Raw genomic sequence first — 11,368 nt, 5'->3', positions numbered from 1 at the left:
TGAAGCAGAAAAAAAATTAGAGTAAATAATGCCTGAAACCCTCGAAATTTAGTGAAAAATATAAACTTACATATTTAAAAGTATCAGAGAACACTAAATAGAATAAACCCACCCATAGAAATCAAAATCAAGAGACATAATCAAACTGCTGAAGACTAAAGACAAGAAAAAAAAATTGAAAGCAAGAAGAGATAAACAATGCACTAGCTATGATTCAAATAATTGTGAATTTCTCATCAGAAGCCATGGAGGCCTGAAGGAAATAGAACAGGTTTAAAGTGTTGAAAGAAAAGAACCAACAACCTAGAATTTTATATTTAGTGAAAACATCTTCAGAAATAAAGACAAATGAAATAAAGACATTCTCTGCAGGAAAAAAATAAAATAAGAGAATTCACACAAGCAGATGTGGTCTAAAAGAATTGCTGAAGGAAGTTCTTCAGAGAGAAGGGAAATGATGTGAGCAGGAAACCTTGAATGTAGGGAATGAAAGAAGAACAGAAATGGTAAATATCTGGTTAAATCTCCTCAAGTTCTTTATCCTCAAGCTCTTTAAAATACATTTGATGGTTGAAAACAAAATTGTTACATTTTTCTGATGGGATTTTTAATGTATGGATATATAGTACACAAGGCAACTACAAATTAAGGAGAGATGGTAAAGGACCTATATACTGGTAAGGTTTCTACATCTCACTTGAAGTGGTAAGATATTGATTCTAAGTAAACTGTCAAAGTTAAGTGATTTCATTTTAATTCCTAGAGCATCCATTTACAATGTTAGATTAAGGGACATAATCAAAAACATGCTAGGTTAACAAAACTGGAATGCTGAGAAGGTTCGAATGAGTAAAAAGAAGGCAGAAAAGAGAAATGGAATAAAAAATAGTTAACAATCAAATCAAATAACAAAATGATTGATGGAAACTCAAATATAAGTATAAATTCTCTAAAAACACCAATACAGAAAATTTCAGAATAAAACCAAAACCAAAAAATAAAAGACCAAAATATATGTTTTTTTACAAGAAACTCAGTTCAAATATAATGACATATGTATGTTAAAAGCAAAAAGACGGTGGTTCCAAAATGGAAGCATAGAAGCAAACTAGCTTCACTCTCTGCAATCTCTGAAAACAAAAAAACAAATACACCACACCAAACTTTCCATCAGAAATATCCCAGAATTTAAATATGAAAATGAGACACTTCACAGAGCAAAAGAGAGGTGAAAAAACTCTCAGAAGACTGTAAGAGAATTAGATATCCACATCCATGATACCTCTCCCCAATTCTGCCCAGCACTAAGCATGTGGAAAATTTCCCCCAAATTCACTATTTCTACACTGGAAAAAGTGAGCTCATGGTGAAACCTAGTTTCCCCACCATTGTGGGTTCCCTGGCAGGAGACCTGTCCCTGCCTTAACCCATGTGAAGCATTGCGAATGTATGAAGGGAGGTATAACCCTGAAGACAGGCAGAAACAAAGCAGGGAGGTGGAACTACCATCCCCAGTCCTGGAAACTGCTCTGTAACTTGGCCAAAGAAGACACCAAATCAGAGTGACTGTTCAGTATCACCATGCTGTACGGGGTTCTTCTAATAGGTCCCTTGGGCATGAACCCCTAACCAACCTTCCCATACCACACATCCCTTTTAGGATCACCCCTGTTGGCTTAAGGCACCACCTAGAGCCAAAAAGGAGGCAGCAACCTAGCAGTAAAGAAACTCTATACAAATATATCCAATACAAACCAAAACAAACCAGACAGAGAAGACTGGAATAAATAATCCTTCAATGCAAAGACATAGACATCTACAAGAAATAACAGCAAACAGGGAACCAAACTATGATCTCCCCAAATAGACAAATCAGGAAACCAGGAATTGACCCTAATGAGACAGCAATATTTGAGCTCTCCGGCCAAGAATTCGAGATAGTAGTTTTAAAGAAACTCAGTGATCTCCAAGCTACCACAGAAAAGCAATTCACAAATTTATTGAAGAAACTTAACAAAGAGGTTGAAATAATAATTTTAAGAAATCAAACACAAATCTTGGAACTGAGAAATACATTTTCTTAACTGAAAAATTCATTAGAGGCTATCGACAATAGAATGGATGAAACAGAGGAAAGACATCAGTGAGCTTGAAGACAGGCTATTTCAAAATACACAGAGGAGAAAAATGAAGAAAAAAGGCATTGAAGATCACCTATAAGATAGAAAATTACCTCAAAAGATCAAATCTAAGAATTATTAATGCTCGAGAGAGAGAGAGATGACCAACAAGGGGAAGAAAGTTTATTCAAAGAAGAAACAATAGAAAACGCCCTACAACATGAGAAAGATATAAATTTATCCAGGTAGAGAAAGGTCAGAGAATCCCAAGCAGATTTGACCCAAGTAAGACTACCCCAGAGTCAGCTGTAGTGGCTGACGCCTGTAATCCCAGCACCTTGGAAGGCCAAGATGGGAGGATTTCTTGAGGCCAGGAAATCAAGACCAGCCTGGGCAACATAGTGAGACCCAAGCTCTACAAAAAATTAAAAAAATAAAAATAGCTGGCCATGGTGGTATACACCTGTAGTCCCAGTTACTCAGAAGGCTGAGGCAGGAGGATTGCTTGAGCCCAGGAGGTTGAAGTCACAGTGAGCCACGATCATGCCACTGCACTACAGCCTGCGTGACAGAGCAAAACCTGGTCAAAAAAAAAAAAAAAACAAACACAAAAAAACTATCTCGCAAAGGTCAAGGACAAAGAACAAAGAGAGAGAAAAGAAGCTAATAATGAACAAAGACACTCCAATTTATCTGTTAACAGACTTCATTCAATGGAAACCATACAGGCCCAGAGGAAGCAGAAGGATATTTTCAAAGTGCTGAAAGAAAACAAAAATCTACTGCCATCCAAGAATATAGCAGCCAGCAAAGTTATCTTTCTAATATGAAGGAGAAATAAAGTCTTTCCTAGACAAAGGCTGAGCAAATTTACCACTACCAGACCTGTCTTACAAGAAATGATAAAGGGAGTTATTCAAATCTGAAAGAAAAAAAGAAACAGTAATATGCAATAAAAAAAAGCCACCATCAATGAAAACAACAAACATTTGAAGATATAAAATCCACTGGTAAAACTACACAGAAAAACCCAAAATAATACTGTAATTATGGTATAGAGTATACCCATAACTCTAGTATGAAACCCAAAAGACAAATCTATCAAAAACAGTAATAGCTATAGCAACTTGTTAAGAGATAGGTAATATAATAATATGTAAATTAAGACAACTAAAAGTTAAAATGTAGCAGAGATAAAGTTAAAATGTAAGGAGCTTTTTGTTGTTTTTCCTTTGTTTCTATTCATTTATTTATGATCAAAGATAAGCTGCCATCTCTTTAAAATAACTTGTTATATCTATAAGATGTTTTTCATAAGCCTCATGGTAACCACAATACAAAAACTGATAATAGATTCACTAAAAATAAAAAGCAGCCAGGCACGGTGGCTCATGCCTGTAATCTCAGCACTTTGGGAGGCCAAGGTAGGCGGATCGCGAGGTCAGGAGTTTGAGACCAGGCTCATCAACATGGTGAAACCTCATCTCTACTAAAAATACAAAAATTGGCTGGGCATGATGGCATGTGCCTGTAATCCCAGCTACTTGGGAGGCTGAGGCAGGAGAATCACTTGAACCCAGGAGGAGGAAGTTGCAGTGAGCCAAGATTGTGCCACTGCACTCCAGCCTGAGTGACAGAGCAAGACTCCGTCTCAAAAAAAAAATAAAAATAAATAAATAAAATAAAAAGCAACAAATTAAAACATACTACCAGAGAAAAATCCCTTAATCACAAAGAAAGGCAATAAGAAAGAAAGAAAGGAGTTACAAAACAACCAGAAAACAAACAACAAATTGGCAGTAGTAAGTCCTTATTTATCAATAAGAACACTGAATGTAAATTGACTCAATTAAAAGGCATACAGTGGCTGAATAGATAAAGAATCAAGAATCGGCTGGGCGCGGTGGCTCACGCCTGTAATCCCAGCACTTTGGGAGGCCGAGGCGGGCGGATCACAAGGTCAGGAGATCGAGACCATCTTGGCTAACACGGTGAAACCCCGTCTCTACTAAAAATACAAAAAATTAGCCGGGCGCGGTGGTGGGCGCCTGTAGTCCCAGCTACTGGGGAGGCTGAGGCAGGAGAATGGCGTGAACCTGGGAGGCGGAGCTTACAGTGAGCCGAGATTGCGCCACTGCAATCCGGCCTGGGCTAAACAGCGGGACTCTGTCTCAAAAAAAAAAAAAAAAAAAAAAAAAAAAAAAAAAAAAAGAATCAAGAAGCAACTATATACTGCCAATAAGAAACCCATTTCACTTATAGACTGAAAGTAAAGGGGTTGAAAAAGATATTCCATGCAGCTAGAAACCAAAAAAGAACAGGAGTAGCTGTACTTATTTCAGATAAAATAGACTACAAATCGGCCAGGCCCCATGGCTCACGCCTGTAATCCTAGCACTTTGGGAGGCTGAGACAGGTGGATCACAAGGTCAGGAGTTGAAAACCAGCATGGCCAAGATGGTGAAACCTCGTCTCTACTAAAAATACAAAAAAAAATTAGCTGGGTGTGGTGGCGGGCACCTGTAATCCCAGCTACTCGAGAGGCTGAGGCAGAGAATTGCTTGAACCCAGAAGGTGGGGGTTTCAGTGAGCTGAGACTGCACCACTGCACTCCAGCCTGGGCGACAGAGCGAGATTCCACCTTGAAAAAAAAAACAGACTACAAATCAAAGACTGTAAAAAGAGACAAAGAAAGTAATTATATAATGATAAAGGGGCCAAGTCAACAAATGGAAATAAAAATTATAAATATCTATGTACCCAACACCAGAGATCCCAAGCATATAAACCAAACATTGATAGATTAGAAGGGAGAGATTGACTGCAGTACAGTACTTGTAAGGAACATTAACACTCCACTCTCAGTATGCACAGATCATCCAAACAAAAAAAAAAAATCAGAGTTAAACTACACACTAGACCTAGTAGGTCTAACTGACATTTATAGAACATTTCACCCAACTGTTGCAGAATACAAATTCCTTTCATTAGAACATGAACATTCTCCAGATTAGACCATATCTTAGACTACAAAACAAGTCTCAAAGAGTTCAGAGAAGTAGAAATCACCTCAAGTATCACTTGTGACCACAATGAAATAAAACTAGAAATCAATAACCAAGCGAATCTCAGAAGCTTCATAAACACATGGAAATTCAACAACATGCTCTTGAACATATTAAGTCAATAAAAAAATTATGAAGGAAATTTTAAAATTTCTTAAAATAAATTAATATGGAAATACAACATAGTAAAATCTATGGAATACAGCATAAGCAGTACTAAGAGGAACGTTTATAGCAATACATACCTATATCAAAAACGTAGAAAGATTTCAGATAACCTAATGGTGCACCTCAAGGAAATCGAAAAGTAAGAATAAACCAAATCCAAAATGAGTAAAGGAAAGAAATAAGAATGATCAAAGCAAAAATAAATTGAGACTAAAAAAGTACAGAAGATCAATAAAATGAAAAATTGTTTTTTAAAAGATAAACAAAATCAACAAACTAAAAGCTAGACTAAGAAAAGCAAGAGACCCAAATCAACAAACTAAAATCAACAAACTAAATCAACAAACTAAAAAACAAACTAAAAGCTAGACTAAGAAAAACAAAAGACCCAAATAAGTAACATCAGAAATGAAAAAGGAGACAAAACAACTGAGATCTCATAAATATAATGAATCATTAGAAACTATTATGAATAATCATATACCAACAAGTTGGAAAAGCTAGAAGAAATGAATGAATTCTCAGATACATATAACCTATCAAGATTGAACCAGGAATAAAAAACTTTACTAAACCAATAATGAGCAATGAGATTGAAGCTGTGGTAAAAAGTCTCCCACCAAAGAAAAGCCCAGGACCTGATGGCTTCACTGCTACATTCTACCAAACATTTAAAGAACTAATACCAATACTATTCTGACTCTTCAAACAAATTGAAGAGGGTATACATCTAAAGTCAACCTGTGAGTCCAGCATCACCCTGATACCAAAACAAGGACAATGAAAAAAGAAAAATACTGACCAATATCACTGATTAACATAGGCAAAAATCCTCAACAAAATACTAGCGAACAGAATTCAATATCACAATAAAAAAATCATATACCATGATCAAGTGAAATTTATCCCAGGGATTCAAGGATGGTTCAACATATAGAAATCAATAAATGTAACACATCATATTAGACTGTTGCGGGGTGGGGGGAGTGGGGAGGGATAGCATTGGGAGATATACCTAATGCTAGATGACCAGTTAGTGGGTGCAGCGCACCAGCATGGCACATGTATACATATGTAACTAACCTGCTCATTGTGCACATGTACCCTAAAACTTAAAGTATAATAATAATAAATAAATTAAAAAAATACATCATATTAATAGAACCAAGAACAAAAACTAAATAATTATTTCAATAGATGCAAAAAATGTATTTGGTAAAATTCAACATCCTTTATAAAAATTCTCATCAAACTTGATATAGAAGGAACATAACTCAAAATAATAAAGACCATATATGTCAAACCCACAGCTAACATCATACTGAATAGGGAAAAATAAAAGGCTTTTCCCCTAAGATCAGAAAGAAGACAAGGATACTCACTTTCACAACTTTTATTCAATATAGCACTGGAAGTCCTGGCCAGAGTAATTGGAAAGAGAAAGGAATGAAGGGCATGTAAGTTGAAAAGGAAAAAGTCAAATTAGCCTTGTTCACAGAAGATATAATCCTATGTTTACAAATACCTAAAGAACCCACACTGAAACTGCTAGAACTGATAAATGAATTCAGTAAAGTTATAGGACATAAAATCAACATTAAAAAATCAGTAGCACTTATATATTCCAAAAGCAAACAATCTGAAAAACAATAAAGTAAGCAATCTTATTTACAATAGCTACAAATAATTAAAATACCTTGGTATCAATTTAACCAAAAAAGTGAACGATAAATACAAGAAAAGCTATAAAACATTCATGGAATAAATTGTAAACACATGAAAACATGGAAAAATATTCCATGCTCATGGATTAAAATAATTAATATGGTTAAAATGTCACTACTACCCAAGGCAATTTACAGATTCAATGCAACCCCTATCAAAACACCAATGACATTATTCACAGAAATGGAAAAAATAATCCTAAAATTTATATGGAACCACAAAAGGCCCAGAATACTTGAAGCAATCCCAAAAAAGAACAAAGCTGGATGCACCACATTACCTGACTTCAAAATTTATTGCAAAGCTGTAGTAACCAAATCAGCATGGTACTGGCATAAAAACAGACACATAGACAAATGGAACAGAATAGACAACCCAGATATAAATCTATGCACTTACAGTCAATTCATCTTGGACAAAGCTACCAAGAACATACAATGGGGAAAGGACAGTCTCTAACATAAATGATACTAGAAAAACTGGATAGCTATATGAAGAAGAAGAAAGCTAGACCCCTACCTCTCACCATATACAAAAATCTGATCAAAATGGATTAAAGATTTAAATCTAAAACCTCAGACTATGAAACTATTAGAAGAAAACATTGGAAAAATACTCCAGGACATTGGTCTAGGCAAAGATTTTGTAAGACCTCAAAAGCACAGATAACCAAAGTAAGAATAGACAAATAAGATTACATCAAGCCAAAAACTCCTGCACAGCAAAGGAAACAATCAACAAGTGAAGAGACAACCCACAGAATGGGAGAAAATATTTGCAGACTATCTATCCAACAAAGGATTAACAATCAGATTATGTAAGGAGCTCAAACAACTCAATAGGAAAAAAATCTAATAAAGTGATTTTAAAACGGGCAAAAGATATGAATAGACATTTCCCAAAAGAAGACATACAAATGGCAAACAAGTATATAAAAAGATGCTCAACATCACTAATCATCAGAGAAATGCATATCAAAACTACAATGAAATATCAACTTATCCCAGTTAAAATGGCATTTATCAAAAAGGCAATAATGAATGCTGGCAAGGAAGTGGGGAAAGAGGAACTCTTGTACATTGTTAGTGGAAATGTAAATTAGTACAGTCATTATGGAGAACAGTATGAAGGTTCCTCAAAAAATGAAAAATAGAATTGTCATATGATCCAGTAATTCCACTACTGTATATATAGCCAAAAGAAAAGAAACCAATATATGGGAAAGACATCTGCACTCCCATGGTTACTGCAGCACTACTCTAAATAGCTAAAATACAGAAGCAACCTAAGTGCCATCAATGGACAAAAGGATAAAGAAAATGTTGTACATATACACCAAGAAGTATTATTCAGCCATAAAAAAGAAACATTGCATGATCTCAGTCATATGTGGAAGCTAAGAGTGAATCTCATGAAAATAGAGAATAAATTGGTGGTTATAGAGGCAAGGAAAGGTAAGGGGGAGGGAGGAATGAAGAGAAGTTGATGAATGGTGTATTAGTCCATTCTCATGCTGCTAACAAAGACATACCTGAGACTGGGTAATTTATAAAAGAAAGAGGTTTAATTGACTCACAGTTCAGCTTGGCTGGGGAGGCTGCAGGAAAATTACAATCACGGTGGAAGGGGAAGCAAACACATCTTTCTTCACATGGCGGCAGGACAGAGAGGAACTGAGCAAAAGGAATAAAAGTTCATTATAAAACCATCAGATATCATGAGAACTCACTATCATAAGAAGAGCATGAGGGTAATTGTCTCCATGATTCAATTACCTCCCACTGGGTCCCTCCCATGACCCATGGGGATTATGAGAACTACAATTCAAGATGAGATTTGGGTGGGGACACAGCCAAACTATATCATTCTGCCCCTGGCCCCTCCTAAATGTCATGATTTCACATTTGAAAACACAATCGTGCCCTTCCAACAGTCCCCAAAGTCTTAACTCATTCCAGCATTAACTCAAAAGTCCAAGTCCAAAGTCTCATCTGAGACAAGTCCCTTCCACCTATGAGCCTGTAAAATCAAAAGCAAGTTAGTTACTTCCTAGATACAATGGGACCATTAAGTAAACACACCCATTCCAAATTGGAGAAACTGACCAAAAGAAAGGAGCTACAGGCCCCATGCAAGTCTGAAGTCCAATAGGGCAGTCATTAAACCTTAAAGTTCCAAAATGATCTCCTTTGACTCTATGTCTCACATCCAGTTCATGCTGATGCAAGAGGTGGACTCCCACAGATTTGGCAGCTCTGTCCCAGTGGCTTTCCAGAGTACAGCCCCTCTCCTGGCTGCTTTCATGGCTGGCATTGAGTGTCTATAGCTTTTCCAGGTGCACTGTTGGTGGAGCTACCATTCTGGGGTCTGGAGGATGGTGGCTGTCTTCTCACAGCTCCACCAGGCTGTGCTCCAGTGGGGGCTCTGTGTGGGGAGCCCCACTGGACCGTTCACCCTTTTAGCTTCCCATATTTGCCTTCCACACTACCCTAGCAGAGGTTCTCCATGAGGGCTCCACCCCTACAGCAAACTTGTGCCTGGACATCCAGGCATTTCCATACATCCTCTCAAATCTAGGCAGAGGTTCCCAAACCTCAATTCTTGACTTCTGTGCACTTGCATGCCCAACACCACATGTAAGCCGCCAAGGCTAGGGGCTTGTACCCTCTGAAGCAAAGGCCTGAGATGTACACTGGCCCACTTTAGCCACAGCTGGAGCTGAAGCAGTTGGGATTCAGGGCACCATGTCCTGAGGTGGCATAGAGCAGGGGGGCCCTGGGCCCAGCTCAAGAAACCATTGTTCCCTCCTAGGCTTCCAGGCCTGTGATGGGAGGGGCTGCTGTGAGGGTCTCTGACATGCCCTGGAGACATTTTCCCCATTGTCCTGGTGATTAAAATTTGGTTCCTCATTACTCATGCAAATTTCTGCAGCCAGCTTGAATTTCTCCTTAGAAAATGGGTTTTTCTTTTGTATTGCATCCTCAGGCTGCAAATTTTCCAAATGTTAATGCTCTGCTTCCCTTTTAAACATAAGTTATAATTCCAAACCATATCTTTGTGACTACATAAAAATGAATGCTTTTAACAGCAAACAAGTCACTTCTTGAACACTTTGTTGCTTAGAAATTTCTTCTGCTAGATACCCTAAATCAACTCTCTCAAGTTCAAAGTTCCACAGATCTCTAGGGCAGGGTAATATACTGCCAGTTTCTTTGCATAGCAAGAGTGACCTTTACTCCAGTACCCAACAAGTTCCTAATCTCCATCTGAGACCACCTCAGCCTGGACTTCATTGTCCATATCACTATCAGCATTTTGGTCAAAGCCATTTAACAAGTCTCTAGGAAGTTCCAAGCTTTTCACATCTTCCTGTCTTCTGAGCCCGCCAATTCTCTAGGAAATTCCAATCTTTCCCACATTTTCCTATCTTCCTCTGAGCCCTCCAAACTGTTTCAACCTATGCCTGTTACCAAGTTCCAAAGTTGCTTCCACAATTTTGGGTATCTTTACAGCAGCACCCCACTACCTGGTACCAATTTACTATATTAGTCCATTCTCATGCTGCTAATAAAGACATATCCAAAACTGGGTAATCTATAAGGGGAAAGAGGTTGAATTGACTCACAGTTCCACATGTCTGGGGAGGCCGCAGGAAACTTAAAATCATGGCAGAAGGGAAAGCAAACACGTCCTTCTGCACATGGCAGCAGGTGAGAGGTACCAAGTAAAAGGGGGAAAAGCCCCTTATAAAGCCACCAGATCTCATGAGAACTCACTATCATGAGAACAGCATGAAGGTATCTGCCTCTCTGATTCAATTACTTCAGTTACATAACATGTGAAGATTATGGGAAATACATTCAAGATGAGATTTTGGTGGGGACACAGCCAAATCATATCAAATGAGTACAAATATATGGTTTGATAGAATAAATAAGACCTAGTGTTTGATGGGTCAGCAGGGTAACTATAGTTTACAATAAGGTATTGCACAAATTCTTGTCTTCTAGTTATTTGTCATCTAACAGTATTGTAAACTATAAAATGGTTTTAGCATAAAGAAAAGAAAAATATTTAAGGTGATACATATATCAAGTATACTGATTTGATCACTGTAAATTATATGAATGTATTAAATTATTACATGTACTCCAAAACTAGGTACATCTATTCAGTTAAAAATAGCAAAAGGACAAAAAAAGATATACTACGCACTCACTAATGAAAAGAACCTTGAAATGGATATATTGATATTGTTCAAAGTAGGCTTCACAGCAAAGAAAATTACCA

General features: G+C 37.2%; 1 non-coding gene across 1 annotated transcript in view; it reads right to left on the bottom strand.

Annotated features, from left to right (window-relative positions):
• Window positions 1-8,639: 8,639 nt before the first annotated feature.
• The window catches only part of PGR-AS1 (PGR antisense RNA 1), a 30,194-nt gene continuing 27,465 nt past the window's right edge, over window positions 8,640-11,368 (bottom strand). Inside the window, exon 5 of the transcript NR_073144.1 lies at window positions 8,640-8,751. This is a non-coding gene — a non-coding RNA (PGR antisense RNA 1). The remainder of the gene's footprint in view (window positions 8,752-11,368) is intronic.

Source organism: Homo sapiens, chromosome 11 (genome assembly GCF_000001405.40).
Source record: "Homo sapiens chromosome 11, GRCh38.p14 Primary Assembly".
NCBI classification, from domain to species: Eukaryota; Metazoa; Chordata; class Mammalia; order Primates; family Hominidae; genus Homo; species Homo sapiens.
The sequence above is the reverse complement of the archived record's forward strand: the minus strand, read 5'-3'. Positions and strand labels throughout refer to the sequence as shown.